Here is a 17,687-nt window from a genome sequence, read left to right as displayed (position 1 = left end):
TGTACCCCAGCCTGGGTGACAGAGCGAGATCTCGCTCCATCTCCAAAAAATAAACAAATAAATAAATAAAATTTAAAAAATAAAAAATAAAACAACCCAAAGTGAATCAACAACAATGTGACAAAATGAAAATTTTTTTGTAATTTTTTTTTTGAGATGGAGTCTCGCCGTTGCCAAGTCTGGAGTGCAGTGGGGCGATTTCAGCTCACTGCAGCCTCTGCCTCCTGGGTTCAAGCAATTCTCCTGCCTCGGCCTCCCTAGCAGCTGGGATTACAGGCACCCACCACCACGCCCAGCTAATTTTTGTGTTTTTAGTAGAGACAGGGTTTCACCAGGTTGACCAGGCTGGTCTTGAACTCCCAACCTCAGGTGATCCACCTGCCTCGGCCTCCCAAAGTGCTGGGATTACAGGCGTGAGCCACTGCGTCAGGGTGATAAAAGGAAATTATGTGCTACACTGATAGGATCCAGTGACAGTTCCACATCACTTTGCTGATAATTCTAATGTTGCATAACCTGAATCATGGGAAACATCAGAGAAATACAAATTAAGGACATTTTATAAAGATTCAAGGTCAAAGCTGGGCGCTGTGGCTCATGCCTATAATCCCAGCACTTTGGGAGGCCGAGGTGGGCAGATCACCTGAGGTCAGGGGTTCGAGACCAGCCTGACCAACATGGAGAAACCCTGACTCTATTAAAAATACAAAAAAAAAAAAAAATAGCCGGGCATAGTGGCACATGCCTGTAATCCCAGCTACTCCGGAGGCTGAGGCAGGAGGATAGCTTGAACCCGGGAGGTGGAGGTTGCTATGAGCCAAGATTGTGCCATTGCACTCCAGCCTGGGCAACAAGAATGAAACTTTGTCTCAAAAAAAAAAAAAAAAAATTCAAGGTCCAGAAAGTCAAGGAAACACTGAAGAACTGTCCTACACTATAAAGAGACTGAGAGACATGACAGGTAAATGCAGTGCATGATTCTCGACTGGTCTTTTGCTTTAAAGGACATAATTGAGGTCATTAGAGAAAATGGAATGGGGTCTGAGGATTAGATGGTAGTAACATCAATGTTAATTTCTTGATGTTGATGGTTTTATTGTACTTATGAAGGAGAATGTCCTTGTTGTTAATAAGTATACCCTAAAGTATCAGGGTATGGAACATCAGATTGACAACTTACTCTTAAATGATTCAGGATAAAAGAGTTCCTTTACTACCCTTTCAACGTTTCTGTAATGTACTTTTTTTTTCACCTTTGCAGGTTTTTTGTTTGTATTAATTGTGGAAGAAATTACTCTGGCTGCTCTAGAGATAAGATTATATGCATGGCAAGAGTGAATTCAGCAATTTTTTTAGGAAGTTGTGGCCAAAATTTATATGAAAGATATTATGTGCCACTAGGATGATAATGGTGAAGAGGAAGGAAGTCATGGTTTCAGGGTTTCTTTTGGAAGTAGAATCCACAGAACTTGCCAATAGATTAGATATAAACAATGCCTTATTATCATTAGTGACAACCAGTGTACTGCAACAGAACACTGGACCAGTATGTGAGAAAGCTGAGTTTTTGAGTTTGGACCAGTAGTCTGATCTTTCTGAGCCTCACTTTTCATCTGTTAAATGGAGATCTTAATATCAGCCCTGTCTGAAGAGTCTAAAAAGCACTCTTTTTAATAAATTGAACATTTAAACATAAGTATTTTTGTTTTGTTTCTGAGACGGAGTCTCGCTTTGTCACCCAGGCTGGAGTTCAGTGTCGTGATCTCGGTTCACTGCATCCTCCGCCTCCTGGGTTCAAGCAATTCTCCTGCCTCAGCCTCCCGAGTAGCTGAGATTACAGGTGCCTACCACCATGCCAGGCTAATTTTTCTATTTTTGGTAGAGATGGGGTTTCACCATGTTGGCCAGGCTGATCTCCTACTCGTGACCTCAAGTGACTCACCTACCTTGGCCTCCCAAAGTGCTGGGATTACAGATGTGAGCCACTGTGCCCAGCCAAACATAAGGATTATTATTCCCTGAACTAGACAATGAGCCTCTTAGAATCGAACCTGTGACTAATGTATCTAGTATCTTGCTCAGTAAATATTTGCCGAATGACTGAATCCCTAAGGACTAGTTATTTATATTTAAATGGGGCCAGGTGCGGTGGCTCACGCCTGTAATCCCAGCACTTTGGGAAGCCAAGGTGGGTGGATCACGAGGTCAAGAGTTCGAGACCAGCCTGGCCAACATGGTGAAACCCCGTCTCTACTTAAAATACAAAAATTGGCGTGGTGGCAGGCGCCTGTAATCCTAGCTACTTAGGAGGCTGAGGCAGGAGAATCACTTGAAACCGGAAGGTGGAGGTTGCAGTGAGCCAAGATCGTGCCACTGCACACCAGCCTGGGTGAAAGCAAAATTCTCTCTCAAAATAATAAATGAATAAAATAAATAAGTAAATGGGCTTTTTTTTAAGGTAAGACTTTAGAAGTACTTTGCTAATAAATATTCTTATGGAGAAGTTTCATATAGTGTCTTCCGCTATTTTAGAAGTATGAAGCTTGGAAAATATATCTTGAAATTTTTGTTATCAGATCGATGAGGTCCTGAGACAGGAAGACAAAGCTGAAGCCATGTCCGGCCATATTGATCAGTTTCTGATAGCCACTTTTATGCAGCTAAGACTCATCTACAACACACACATGGCAGATGAGAAATTGGAGAAGGACGAGATCATCAAGTTGTATAGCTGTATCATTGGCAACATGATTTCGGTAAGGGCACCTCTGCAGAATTTCAGCTTCCCATCAATCTCTCAGCCTACAGAGGTTCAAAAGCCAGAGTCCATGCAGATGTTGCAGTGAGTCCTGTGTCACTTGGTAGAATTTTACATGCATTGTATATAGCAAGCTACTGATGGCTTCCATTGGATGTTTGGCTACACTCCATCCCACCTTACTGTTAGGATATAAAGTAACATGCTTACAGACTACCTAGCTTCTTCCGGCCAGTTTCTTCATCAGGCATGGTAGGCCATAGCTGCCTTTCCACAGATAAGTATGGTTCTATTAAAAATGCTAATTAGCCTGGTTTGATCAGTATACATTGTATACATGTGTTGAAATACCACTCTGTATTCCATAAATTTGTACAATTATTACATGTCAACTAAAAATAAAAGGGAAAAAATTTGTTAATGTTTTACCTGTAGAGCAGATTATAAGGATAATAAAGACATTCTCACTCAGATTTCAATATTCTTTCTTAAACTGGGGCTAAAAGGGTGGACTTAATGACACCAACTAGCCAGAAATTACAAATTTGGCATAACAGTAAATAATTTCACATGTAAAAACAAATACTTTGGCCAGGCACAGTGGCTCACACCTATAATCTCAGCACGTTGGGAGGCCAAGGCGGGTGGATCACAATGTCAGGAGTTCAAGATCAGCCTGGCCAAGATGGTGAAACCCCATCTCTACTAAAAATACAAAAAATTAGCCAGGCCTGGTGGCGGGCGCCTGTAATCCCAGCTACTCGGGAGGCTGAGGCAGAGAATTGCTTGAACCCAGGAGGCGGAGCTTTCAGTGAGCCGAGATCGTGCCACTGCACTCCAGTCTGGGCAACAGAGCAAGACTCTGTCTCAAAAAAAAAACAAAAAATTTCACAATTAGAAGCACACCGATTAATTTTGCCTATTACTAGAGGCTTGGGGGAGTGTGGTGATTTTGTTTTTTCTTTAATACTCTGAATTTTTACAAATATAACATAGCCGGGCGCGGTGGCTCACGCCTGTAATCCCAGCACTTCAGGAGGCCAAGGCAGGTGGATCACGAAGTCAGGAGATCGAGACCATCCTGGCTAACACGGTGAAACCCCATCTCTACTAAAAAAAAAAAATACAAAAATTAGCCCAGCGTGGTGGTGGGTGCCTGTAGTCCCAGCTACTCGGGAGACTGAGGCAGGAGAATGGCATGAACCGGGGAGGCAGAGCTTGCAGTAAGCCAAGATCACGCCACTGGCACTCCAGCCTGGGCGACAGAGGAGACTCCGTCTCAAAAAAAAAATACAACATAATTGAATATTTATCAGAATATGCCACCCACATTTCTTTACTCTCTATATTGAGTTTTACACCTCCCTGACACAAGTATGTCTGGATAGCTGTTTCAGATAGAGAGCCTTGCCCGGGAGGCCTCCACTGGAGTACTAAAAGACCTAATGCATGGCCTCATCACCTTAATGCTGGATTCTCGGATTGAAGATCTTGAGGAAGGACAACAGGTCATCCGCTCTGTGAACCTCTTGGTGGTGAAGGTTCTGGAGAAGTCAGACCAGACCAACATCCTGAGGTATATCTGTACTCTCAGCCAATAGAGCCTGGGGCATCCTCGCTTTTGTTTACACTTAGAAACCATAATGTCCGTAAGTCAACTTCCTAGGCAACCTAACAATCATAATCAACTTCCTAGGCACACTTAAAGTTATAGCTACATCAGTTATAACTATATCAGTTAAAACTTTAAGTGTGCCTAGGAAGTTGATTTATTACTCTTCTTCATCATGGACCAAAGGTATTTTAGCCTGAGACCATAGCTAAAACTAGTAAATACTTAGTTAGCCAGCCAATATCATGCATTTTCTATAATAGGACTGTAAAGTTTGTCAGTTACATTTTTCTTGTACATTTCAGGTACATTTTATTCTTTCTCAGCTACCAATGACAATGAAAAATAGAGTCACAAACCTTACACTTACCAAGTGGTGACTTAAAAGGCTTAAACAATGTTTATTTTCTTAACTGAATGTCAGGTAGTCCAGGACAATTCCTGATCCATGACCTCTCAGTTTATTAGATGAATAGAGTAATCTCACTTGCCCTTTCAACTGCTGATTCTAATTGGAATGCAGGTTTGAAACTTAATGCTGTTGTGTTGGGTTTTTCTTCCAGTGCCCTACTTGTTTTGCTCCAAGACAGCCTGCTAGCAACAGCCAGTTCTCCCAAATTCTCAGAGCTTGTTATGAAGGTGAAGTTGAAATGATTTGATCTCTTTTCTTTCAAAGATGCAATCACTTTGTTAAAAGTATGGGGAAAGAGGAATTGGAGCTAAGAAAGACATAGGCTCAAATCAACCAAGTCACACCTGAAAATATATTTTTCGTAATAAAAATATTAATAAATTTTTAAAAATTTAGCCAGGTGCAGTGGCATGCACCTATAGTAGCAGCTACTCAGGAGGCTGAGTTGAGGAGATTACTTGAACCCAGAAGTGAGCTTGATCATACCACTACACTCCAGCCTTGGCAACAGTGAGACCCCATCTCTTAAAAAATATATATATGGTTTTTTATATATATGTGTATTATATATATGTATATATGTATTATATATGTATATCTTAATATGTTATATATGTATATAATACACGTGTGTGTGTGTGTGTGTGTGTGTGTGTGTGTGTGTGTGTATATATATATATATATATATATATATATATATGAATTGGTCTTCAGTTTTTCCCTTCCTACAATTTATATTCTAAGTTCAGGCCTAAACAGTTCGTGGCCTCAAACAGTGAAAGGGAGGAAATATTTTGTAAATATTTTACTAATTCTCTGAGGATCAAAAGGAAAGAAGTTTGAAACAGATTTCATTTATTTTGGGGAAAAAGATATCTACAGCCCTATGATATTTGGTCTCTTTTGTGAAAGAGACCAAATGAACATATTTATAACATTGTAATACTGTTATTACACTGAATTAGTATCAGATATTTTGTCCCCTTGCATTAGATTTGGTTAAGCAACATGAACTACTTTACTCTCAGGAACGAAGGAAACCCAAGAGAGAATTTCTACCAGGTTAAATGATGGCCCCTAGCTCTGGGGAGTGGGAAGGAGTAGAGATGGATGATTAGATGAATGACTGGACACACTTCAGCTGGTGTCATGGTAGAAGTGATTAAAAATTTTCATGTTTTAGCAGCTGAACTTGAAAGATATGATGTGCCACATTTATAGCCCTGGCCATCTTTTAGAAGTGAGCTCAAAGCTTAGGGAAGATGAATGGTGACAAATTATCCTCATTCTTCAGTCACTCCTAACTCTTTTATTCTTTTTTCAATAGTGTCTCTGGAGAATGGTTCGACTGTTGCCTGATACCATCAATAGCATTAACCTAGACAGAATTCTTCTGGATATCCACATTTTCATGAAGGTCTTCCCCAAAGAGAAACTGAAGCAATGCAAAAGTGAATTTCCCATAAGGACCCTAAAGACCCTGCTACACACCTTATGCAAATTAAAAGGGCCCAAGGTGAGTAAGAATCGCAACTGGTCTCTGAGGGAGCTTGAGAGAAAATCATGGAAATGGCAGTGCTATCAGTCATGCATGTGTCTCCCTCAGATCCTGGACCACCTAACGATGATCGACAACAAAAACGAGTCTGAGCTGGAGGCCCATCTCTGCCGGATGATGAAGCACAGTATGGACCAGACTGGGAGCAAGTCTGATAAGGAAACAGAAAAGGGAGCATCTCGAATAGTGAGTGGCCTGACTTGAAAGATTGAGGGACATGAGGCTACACCGGAAGTGATCTTATCTAAGGTGTAGGTCACCAGGATATGCTTTCCGAAGGTCCAAGGTGAAGGCTCATGGACTGGTTGAATCAGTCTCCTGCTGTGGTGCAGTAACCATTTCCACCTTGAAATTTTAAAATCTAAACTAAGTATAACCATGTGTTTTTTGGTCCCCAAGAAAGATGCCTAAGGCATTGGTCACCAGATAAATAGCTAGTTCTGCTTAACATGGAAAGAATATGTCAGTTCCTTCTCCATCAAGTTGAGGTGGAAATCTGAGACTGGAGGCATTCAGTAACACAGAATGTTAGTGCTTCTGCTGCAAGACCTGCATCATCGGTGCATCTGTTATCTGTAGGAACATACCAATAAGGCCCAGATTTTGAGATATTTTCTGTTCATATCCAACCATCAGTTCCTAATTAATAACTCAAGTCTAACCAATTCTTCCTATGTCTTTCAACTTTTCAGGATGAAAAATCATCAAAGGCCAAAGTGAATGATTTCTTAGCTGAGATTTTTAAGAAGATTGGCTCTAAAGAAAACACTAAAGAGGTGAGAGTGAAAGGGTTAAGCAGAATAGGGGTCTGCTTTATGGTAAAGGGACACTAACATTCATCCCCACCTCTTCCCTTTTCCTGTTCACCAGGGACTAGCAGAGTTATATGAATATAAGAAGAAATACTCAGATGCTGACATTGAACCATTTCTGAAAAATTCCTCACAGTTCTTCCAGAGCTATGTCGAAAGAGGCCTTCGGGTGATTGAGATGGAGAGGGAGGGCAAAGGTCGTATTTCCACTTCAACAGGTATGGTTTCCTGTTATAGCTCCAGGAATAAGCTCAAAATAGCTCCTAGCACAGGAACCTGAAGTTTTGGTTAGTTTAAATTCATATCCATGAACCTCAATACTTAATGGTCACCAAATGGCCTTCCCATTGCTATATCCAGTGGTCAATTCTTAGCCACCTGAATTGACCCATCATCAGTATTTGACAATGGTAAATAAATTGTTCCCTGCCCTTGAGACAGCTTCTTCACTTCGCTTCCAGTTCTCCATGCTGTCTTGTTTTCCTCCAGTCTCACTGGCTATTCCTTCTTGGCCTTTGACTGATTCTTGCTCACTTGCTCTGACCTCTTTTTTTTTTTTTTTTTGAGATGGAGTTTCACTCTTGTTGCTCGGGCTGGAGTGCAGTGGTGCAATCTCGGGTTCAAGCTATTCTCCTGCCTCAGCCTCCCGAGTAGCTGGGATTACAGGCATGCGCCACCACGCCAGGCTAATTTTTTGTATTTTTAGTAAAGACGGGGTTTCTCCATGTTAGGCTGGTCTGGAACTCCTGACCTCAGGTGATCCGCCCGCCTCAGCCTCCCAAAGTGCTGAGATGATGCTCATGAGCCACTGCGCCTGGCCTCACTCTGACCTTTTAATGTGGACATCCCCCAGGGTTCAGTCTATGGTTGTCTTCTCTCTTTCTCTTATTTCCTTAATGAGTTCATCTACTTTCACCACTTTAAATAACATTTAAATCTCCAGCTTAGACCTCCTTCCTGATTTCCAAACTGCTATATCCTACATGATATCTCCACCTGGGTTTCAAATAGATTTTTTTTTTTTTTTTTTTTTTCTTGAGACGGAGTCTCACCCTGTCACCCAGGCTGGGGTGCAGTGGTGTAATCTCAGCTCACTGCAACCTCCGCCTCCCAGGTTCAAGTGATTCTCCTGCCTCAGCCTCTTGAGTAGCTGGAACCACAGGCGGGTGCCACCACACCCAGCTAATGTTTGTATTTTTAATGGAGATGGGGTTTCTCCATGTTGGCCAGGCTGGTCTTGAACTCCTGACCTCAGGTGATCCACCCACCTTGGCCTCCCAAAGTGCTGGGATTACAGGCTTGAGTCACCATGCCCAGCCTCACATAGACATTGTAAACTCTACATGTCAAAAACTAAAGTCCTGGCCAGGCATGGTGGCTCACGCCTGTAATCCAGGACTTTGGGAGGCTGAGGCGGGCAGATCACGAGGTCAGGAGTTCAAGACTAGCCTGGCCAATATGGTGAAACCCCGTCTCTACTAAAAATACAAAAATTAGTTGGGTGTGGTGGCGTGCGCCTGTAGTCCCAGCTACTCAAGAGGCTGAGATAGAAGAATCACTTGAACCCAGGAGGCGGAGGTTGCACTGGGCCGAGATCGCATCACTGCACTCCAGCCTGGGCGACAGAGCGAGACTCCATCTCAAAAACAAACAAACAAAAAAACTAAAGTCCTGATCATCCCGTAAGCCTGATCCATTGACTTTTGTTTTGTTTTGTTTTGTTTTGAGACAGTCTCGCTCTGTTGCTCGGGCTGGAGTGCAGTGGTGCGATCTTGGCTCACTGCAACCTCCACCTCCCGGGTTTAAGCAATTCTCCTGCCTCAGCCTCCCGAGTAGCTGGGATTACAGATGCCTGCTACCATGGCTAATTTTTGTATTTTTAGTAGAGACGGGGTTTCACCATGTTGGCCAGGCTGGTCTTGATCTCCTGACCTCGTGATCCGCCCACTTCGGCCTCCCAAAGTTCCGGGATTACAGGCGTGAGCCACCATGCCCAGCCGATCCATTTACATTCTTCTCCATCTTGGTTGATGGCAACTTTATCCTTCGAGTTTGTTCAGATCCAAAGCTTTTGAGTCTTCTCTTCCTTTCCGTCAGGAAATTATTTTGGCTCTACCTGCAAACCATATGCAGAATTCATCCACACTTCTCTTCACTGCTACCACCTTGGTGTGTGTGTTCTCTCTCATCTGTATTACTGTACTATCTTCCTGCTTGATCTCCCTGCTTCCACCCTGCCTTCCTCTGTTCTTTTCTACACATAGCATCAGAATGACTCTAATGAAACATTTTCCAGAGGCTCTCCCTTTCACTCAGCAAAAGCAAAAGGCCCTTTAAAGGTCTCTGAGGTCCTGTGTTTATAGGACCCGCCAGTGCCCCTAGTACCTCATCACCTAGTCCTCTTCCTGTTGTTTCACTCCAGCCCCACCAGCCCCCTTGTTTCTTTTAGAGTCAGGGTCTCGCTCTCTCACTCAGGCTGGAGTGCAGTGGCGCAATCATGGCTCACTGGGTTCAAGCAGTCCTCCTGCCTCAGCCTCCCGAGTAGCTGGGACTACAGGTGCATGCCACCATGCCTGGCTAATTTTTGTATTTTTTGTAGAGACAGGGTTTCTCCTTGTTGCCCAGGCTGGTCTCTAACTCCTGGGCTCAAGTGATCCACCCACATCGGCCTCCCAAAGTTCTGGGATTTCAGGTGTGAGCCACCACGCCTGGCCTCCCCCTGGTTGTTTCTGGAACACACCAGGCATATGTCTTCTTAGGGCCTTTGCACTGGCTATTTCTTACACATAAATGCTCTTCCTTAGATGGCTTTGTTGCCTAGCTCCCTTTCCTCTTTCACATCTTTGTTCAAATACCACCATCTTAGTGAAACCTTTTTTTTTTTTTTTTTGAGATGAAGTCTTGCTCTCTCGCCCAGGCTGGAGTGCTATGGCACGATCTTGGCTCACTGCACCCTCCGCCTCCCAGGCTTAAGAGATTCTCTTGCCTCAGCTTCCCGAGTAGCTGGGATTATAGACGTGCACCTCCACGCCCAGCTAAGTTTTGTAGTTTTAGTAGAGGCGGGGTTTCACCGTATTGGCCAGGCTGGTCTCCAACTCCTGACCTCAGTTGATCCACCTGCCTTGGCCTCCCAAAGTACTCCCAGGCATGAGCCACTGTGCCTGGCCAGTAAAACCTTATTGTTTAAAACTTGCAACCTATCCCTCACCCCACCATAGCACTTACACCTCTAACATACTATATAATGTAGTATTTATTAGGTTAATTGTTCAGCATCTGTGTCTAGTCATGCATATCAACATTTTGCCCAGTGATGGACTGCATATATGATGGTGGTCCCATAAGATTATTTATTTTGAGACAGGGTCTCACTCTGTCATCCAGGCTGGAATGCAGTGACGATCTCGGCTCACTGCAACCTCCACCTCCTAGGTTCAAGTGATTCTTTTGCCTTGGCCTCCCGAGTAGCTGGACAGTTGCGTGCCACCACACCCAGCTAATTTTTTGTGTGTATTTTTAGTAGAGACAGGGTTTCACCATGTTGCCCCAGCTGGTCTTGAACTCCTGGTCTTCCTGGTCTCAAGTGATCCCCCCACCTCAGCCTCCCAAAGACCTAGGATTACAGGTGTGAGCCACCATACCCAGCTGGAGCTGAAAAATTGCTATCACCTGATGATACCATAGCTGTCATAATGTCATAGCACAATTATTTTTGTATAAGTTTAGTGTAGCCTAAGTGTACAGTGTTTATAAAGTTGACAGTAGTGTCCTAGGCTTTCACCTTCACACACCACTCACCCAGAGCAACTTCCAGTCCTGCAAGCTCCATTCCTGGTAAATGTCCTATACAGGTGTACCATTTATCTTTTATACAACATTCTTACTGTACCTTCTCTATGTTTAGATACATAAATACTTTGTGTTAACATTGCCTATAGTATTCAGTACAGTAACATGCTGTACAGGCTTGTAGCCTAGGTGTGTGGCAGGTTATACCAACTAGGTGTTCACATAACAATGAAATTATCTAACAAATGCATTTCTCAGAATGTATCCCTGCCCTTAAGCCACACATGATGATATTTGTTAAATGATATAAATGAATGCAGTAACTAAGTTTAAGCTGAAATGTTACTGCCCCCACAGTGAAAAAGTCCCTATTCGAGAATTACTGCTCACAGGATCTAGAGACAAACAGAAGACTTAGGAGGTTTCAGTTATAGAAAATAGCTATCATGAGCCTTAAACCAAGACAAGACAGACCCAACTGCAAAAGTGCCCTCTCATCAGTTCTATGCTTAGTTCTTTCCGAGTTTAGTGACATTCACCTACTCTTACATTTGAGAATGTGTTTGCCTGTCAAAGCATGTCCCTTTGTGTTTTTCAGACCCTGATCATATCCACTCTCAGCCTGTATCTTGCTGGGCTGAAGCTTCAGTTAAATTTTGTTCTCTTAAATAGGAGTTCTTTTTTGTTTTTGACACCTTAAATTACGCCTTTCCAAGACTTTACAAGTGTTTTTATTTTTTGAGGTTTTTTTGAGATAGGTTCTCACTCTGTCACCCAGGCTGGAGTACAGTGGTGCGATCTCGGCTCACTGCAGCTTCTGCCTCCTGGGTTCAAGTGATTCTCATGTCTTGGCCTCCCGAGTAGCTGGGATTATAGGTGTGTGCCACCACCCCCAGCTAATTTTTGAATTTTTTTTAAGAGGGTTTCACCATGTTGGCCAGGTTGGTCTTGAACCCCTGACCTCTAAGTGATCCACCTGTCTTGGTCTCCCAAAGTGCTTGGATTACAGGCATGAGCCACTGTGCCCAGCCAGGGTCTCTTTTTGTTGCCCAGGCTGGTCTTTAATGAAAAAGACCTCTTAGGAGTTAAAGTGTGGTGTGCAGAATGTCCAACAGTATGCCACATGTAAACATACCATGGTTTGATCAGGGCAGGCATCCTATCCTTGTTTCCAAAGCCCTTTTTGGGGATGTTCAACGTGTGATAATTTTGGCCTAAACAGCACATTTGCAACCCAAGCATGTATTCCCACTGATTATTAAATTGATTTTGTGCCTTAGAGTATTCAGACATCTCATATTGCTGGCTTTTACATAATTCTTCATTCATTTTTCACCCCCTCAGAGGATTCTCCTCATCTTTACATTAAAGGAGTCCTTTTTCCCTGGAGTAACCTTTCTACTTTTCTATTTACCATAAGGCAGTGTTTCCTCCCAGTACCTTACCTTTGGGGCCTGTGGAATGCATTTGCATTGATACCAAGTGAAATATTTTAAAGGCCCGCATTGTATCATTGTTCATTCTCAGAAATTTAGGAAGTGTGATGGATTTTTTGTTGTTTTGGTTTTCCTCTCTCCTGCCAGAATATTGATCTTAGTGGTAGGGTTACAGACACTCCAGTTCTATGCCCTCTTTAGATAATTGTTGGACACCTTCTCTTCCCCATGAATACACCATAGCCTTGGACACCTTGCTTCCTTCACAGGTTCAAATGAGTTTCTCCTATGTGACATTGGTCCAAACTTAATCTAATTCTTCCAAACATTTAAGGTCCTCGGGTTTTTCAGTTGGGCAATTACAGTATGCTTAGGAGTAGCTTCAGCTTTTTGGATTGCCCAAGTCAGCCCTGGGATTACTGGAGTACAATCCCCTGCATAACCCAGGATGCAGATGGATGACCCAATTTACATTCTGCCTTTCTATATCAGTTTTTTGCATTCTCAAGAAGCTTATATTGTATATTTCAGAGCACCCTTATCACCAACTCCAGGTAGATTCTTGTGGAATTTGTCGTTTTCAAGTATAGGAAATTCTTAATTGTTCTTTTTGGTGGGAGATTAACCAAGGCACTTTAGAAGGGGGATATGTGGATATCTGAATATTCTTTCTACTTTTTCCCCTCTAGGCATCTCCCCTCAGATGGAAGTCACATGTGTGCCCACGCCCACAAGCACAGTGTCCTCCATAGGTAACACAAATGGGGAAGAAGTGGGGCCATCTGTCTACTTGGAAAGGCTAAAGATCCTCCGACAGCGATGTGGTCTGGACAACACAAAGGTACTGCTCCTTTTCTTCTGTGCAGTTCAGGGAGGGTAGTCACAAGCAGGTCCGAGGCAGGCTGGCCCACAGAGAAGTGGCTTAGTCTTGCTGTAGTTCTGGAGCTGCATCTTGACCTGCTTGACCTGACCTTAGACAATCTCTCTCCTTCTCTCAATAGCAAGATGACCGACCTCCTTTGACCTCTTTGCTCTCCAAACCAGCAGTTCCTACTGTCGCCTCTTCCACAGACATGCTCCACAGCAAACTCTCTCAGCTCCGGGAGTCACGGGAGCAGCACCAGCATTCAGACCTGGATTCTAACCAGACTCACTCTTCAGGAACTGTGACCTCCTCCTCCTCCACAGCTAACATAGACGACTTGAAAAAAAGACTGGAGAGAATAAAGAGCAGTCGCAAATGAAGCTGCCCCACTCCCCCGGCACCCTGCAGCTTTAGTTTACTAAACTAGAAGTCCTCATAGTTTAAAATGGCCTCAGCAGGCCTAGTGTATACAAACTGGTTGTATGTATCATGCCGTGGAGCTAGGGGGAGGAGTCATTGTGGCACAAGTATTTGTACATACTCTGCTTCTCTCTGTCAGCGTCCTGCTGCTCTAGAAGACTGTCCGTGGATGAGTTTAGTGTACAGACTTGTAAACAGCTGCCCCCTCTCTGCTCAGTCTAGTTCCCAGATCCTTTTCTTTTCTTTTTAATTGCTCATTTGTAAAATTGTCCTAATCTTTCCTAGCTTTTTAATAGTTAATATTAGAAACTCTTTAATAGTTTTCCTTTCAGTTTGTGAGCTCTTCTCTGTCGCCCTGAAGGGTCACTGTATTCTGTATGAATGCATGGCATGATACAACTAATTTAAGAGTCTTTTATAAATAAAGTTTGCATTAACTATACCTGACTCCCAAGATGCTCCATATCATGGAGTGTTGGGCAGCAATTTTTTAACTTTTGGTACCAGCTGGGTATTCAGCCAGTTAGAGAAAGGTTAATTACTGCTTACAGAGCTTCCCTTTTTCTTGGCTCACAGACTTGGAGCTGTCTTTTATTCCTTTGGAATGGAAGGAACTCTCCTTCCCTGCTCTCCACAAACAGCTCCTAGGGAGCAGAAAAATCTCATCCTTCCTTGTTTTGAGATTTTGGTCATGATTTCCCTCCAATTATCACCAGTCGTTTCAAGAAGCTCTTGGGCATCCTACCACTTTGCTGACCAAAGGCACACAAGATTGCGCCCAGAGATTGGCTGGGCTTCAGTGGTTCTCACACTACAACTAGATTTGTGTTCATTTGACTAATGGAGTTTGGGAAATCTTAGTGGTTTGCTGCTTGGTTGTATGAGTCTCTTTTGGTCCAGGCTAACAGTTGCTTCACATTCAGTCAGAGTAAGGATGAGAAAGTGAGCTGAGTATTCACCTCTGGAATAAATTCCACAGGACCTCCCTCCACAGTCAGAAAAACTCTTCAGGATGAAAAGGTTCTGGATTCAGGAGGAGATTTTGGGCAGTTATAAAGTTCAAAGGAACTTTCCTATTGTAGCCCACCTTCAATTCAATTGATGTCCAAGAAATGAAAGATTGATGGAAGATTAATCCTGTAAAGGTTCCAGTCATCGTTTTCAGGTGGCCCCGGAGCCTCCTGAAATTAAACTTGTCTCTCCTTTATAGTGGGAACATGGGAGTGGGTATTTGTTCACTGAAGGGATGATGGAGGCGTTTGCTGCTATAGTGGAAAGACATATTTAGAAAGAATGGCTACAAAGGCTGGGCCTGGTGGCTCACTCATACAACCGTAGCATTTTGGGAGGCTAAGGTGGGTGAATCACTTGAGCCCAGGAGTTCAAGACCAACATGGGCAACATGGCTCTACCAAAAAAATACAAAAATTAGCTGGGTATAGTGGCTCAAGCCTGTAGTCCCAGCTACTTGGGAGGCTGAGGTGGGAGGATCACCTGAGCCCAGGAGGTCAAGGCTGCAGTGAGCCGTGATCACTCCACTACACTCCAGCCTGGGCAACAGAGCAAGACCTTGTCTCAAAAAAGAGGAGGGAAACAAAAGAAGAGGAAAAAAAAGAGTGGCTGTACTCCTGTCTGGAATTAGCACAGCTGACTGGAAAAACCCAAGTCCCTAGAGCTTACAACACTGACCGCTATGTCGGAAGAAAACAGACTTATGAGAATGTGTGTTCTTGTTTAAAAAGCAGGTCCTGCATGTCACAAGTAATTCTGAATCCCTTCCCCCTTGATCGAGTTGATGCCCTGGGCTGCCAAATCCTGCAAGCTCACTGCCTTTCAGTCAACCAGAACCAAAGAATGAGGCCAAGGAACTCTGTCCTGTTTGTTTTCTGATGTGTTGAAAAATGAGAAAAAAAAAAAAAAACGTTATGAGGAGGGTGCTAAAGATCCCTATCTCAGGTCCCTTCCCGTGGAAAACCACGTTAGAAGATCCTAGGCCAGGTACTGTAGCCACAGGGTTTCCCTGCTCCACTCCACTATCCTGTGCCTGAGGCAGACGTTGATCTTCATTCTTTCCCTGAGCTCATGGATGAGACTTCTCAAGACGGAGCCATGCTCCATCCCACACCTGTGACCTCTGCCAACAGTAACCGTGAAGAATGTGCTCTGAAAGGGTATCTTTGAAGTTCTATGATTCTTTTTTTTGCAAGGGACTCTTGCTGTGTCGCTCAGGCTGGATGGCATGCAGTGGCATGCCTCTCTCCTCACTACAACCTCTGCCTCCTGAGTTCAGCCAATTCTCCTGCCTCAGCCTCCCAAGCAGCTGAGAAGCTGGGATTACAGGTGCCCACCACCACACCCGGCTAGTTTTTGTATTTTTAGTAGAGACGGGATTTTACCATGTTGGCCAGGCTGGTCTCCAACTCCTGACCTCAGGTGATCCACCAGCCTCAGCCTCCCAAAGTGATGGGATTACAGGCGTGAGCCACCATGCCCAGCCCATGACTCTTATAACTTAGAGGTCCCATTTCTTGGAAAAATAAATTGTTCCAGCTGGGAACTGCTGTGTGAGGAAACATTCCAGGAAGCAACTACCCCACTGATGGGCTATTTCCAGGGCCCAAGAGAGGGACGAGGTAAGCGGCAGAGGAACTTTCAACAGGCCCAATGCCCGGTCCAGTTCCCAGGCAATAGTGAGAATACGAGTGGTAGTGATTCACAGCTTACTAGGCACTAGGCATTGTGCTAAGGCACCATGTAAGTTCTTTCATTTAATCCTCATAACCGTATGAGGTAAGTAATGTCGTTATATACACCTTTTAATATACAGGTGGCCTTCCAGATCTGTGGGTTTTGCATCTGCAGATTCAACCAACTGCAGATTGAAAATATTTGTGGGGAAAGAAAACAATAAAAATAATACAAATTTTAAAATAATACAGTATAACTATTTACATAGTATTTACGTTCTATTGGGTGTAAGTCATCTAGAGATGATTTGAAGTATATGGGAAGGCCGGGCAGGGTGGCTCATGTCTGTAATCCCAACACTTTGGGAGGCCCCGATGGGTGGATAACCTGAGGTCAGGAGTTTGAGACCAGCCTGACCAACACGGTGAAACCCCATCTCTACTAAAAATACAAAAACTAGCCAGGCGTGGTGGCGGGCACCTGTAATCCCAGCTACTCGGGAGGCTGAGGCAGGAGAATCACTTGAACCTAAGAGGCGGAGATTGCAGTGAGCCGAGATCGCACCATTGCACTCCAGCCTGGGCAATGAGCAAAATTCCAACTCAAAAAGATAAAAATAAATTTTAAAAATGAAGTATATGGGAGGATGTGCATAGGTTATATGTAAACTGTGCCATTTTATATAAGAGATTTGAGCATCTGTGGATTTTGGTATGCATGGTTGGTTCTTCTTCTTTTTGAGACAGAGTCGCTCTGTCGCCCAGGCTGGAGTGCAGTGGTGCAATCTTGTCTCACTGCAAGCTCCACCTCCCAGGTTCATGCCATTCTCCTGCCTCAGCCTCCCACGTAGCTGGGACTACAGGCGTCCACCACCACGCCTGGCTAATTTTTTGTATTTTTGGTAGAGACAGGGTTTCACCGTGTTCACCAGGATGGTCTCAATCTCCTGACCTTGTGATCCATCCACCTCAGCCTCCCAAAGTGCTGGGATTACAGGCTTGAGCCACCGTGCCCAGCCCTGATTTTTATAAACAGGGTTTCACTGTCACCCAGGCTGCAGTGCAGGTGTAGTGACATGATCATGGCTCACTGCAGCCTCAACCTCCTGGGCTCAAGTGATCCTCCCAAGTAACCTTGACTACAGGCACATGCCACCACGCCTAGCTAATTTTATTTTTTGGGGTCTCACCACATTGCCCAGACTGATCTCGCATTCCTAGCCTCAACCTTAGTCTCCTAAATTGCTGAGATTACAGGTGTGAGCCACCATGCCCTACCTGATCTGATATCATTTTAATGATACAAGGGAAGATGTAGGGAGTTAACTAAAAAAGCAC

General features: G+C 43.9%; 1 protein-coding gene and 1 non-coding gene across 3 annotated transcripts in view; both read left to right on the top strand.

Annotated features, from left to right (window-relative positions):
• CKAP5 (cytoskeleton associated protein 5) overlaps nucleotides 1–14,596 on the top strand; it is a 103,233-nt gene extending 88,637 nt beyond the window's left edge. Inside the window, exons 36-44 of one of the 2 annotated variants that reach the window (NM_001008938.4) lie at nucleotides 2,577–2,756; nucleotides 4,147–4,334; nucleotides 4,934–5,009; nucleotides 6,110–6,298; nucleotides 6,389–6,526; nucleotides 7,033–7,116; nucleotides 7,211–7,370; nucleotides 13,067–13,218; nucleotides 13,379–14,596. In NM_001008938.4, the coding sequence (NP_001008938.1) occupies nucleotides 2,577–2,756; nucleotides 4,147–4,334; nucleotides 4,934–5,009; nucleotides 6,110–6,298; nucleotides 6,389–6,526; nucleotides 7,033–7,116; nucleotides 7,211–7,370; nucleotides 13,067–13,218; nucleotides 13,379–13,621 (1,410 nt within the window). In that variant the 3' untranslated portion in view covers nucleotides 13,622–14,596. The remainder of the gene's footprint in view (nucleotides 1–2,576; nucleotides 2,757–4,146; nucleotides 4,335–4,933; nucleotides 5,010–6,109; nucleotides 6,299–6,388; nucleotides 6,527–7,032; nucleotides 7,117–7,210; nucleotides 7,371–13,066; nucleotides 13,219–13,378) is intronic. The other variant, NM_014756.4, reaches the window with a different exon arrangement.
• MIR5582 (microRNA 5582) lies at nucleotides 4,452–4,519 on the top strand. Its single transcript, NR_049846.1, has one exon. It is a non-coding gene; the product is annotated as a microRNA 5582 (primary transcript).

Source organism: Homo sapiens, chromosome 11, assembly GCF_000001405.40.
Source record: "Homo sapiens chromosome 11, GRCh38.p14 Primary Assembly".
Taxonomy (NCBI): Eukaryota; Metazoa; Chordata; class Mammalia; order Primates; family Hominidae; genus Homo; species Homo sapiens.
The sequence above is the reverse complement of the archived record's forward strand: the minus strand, read 5'-3'. Positions and strand labels throughout refer to the sequence as shown.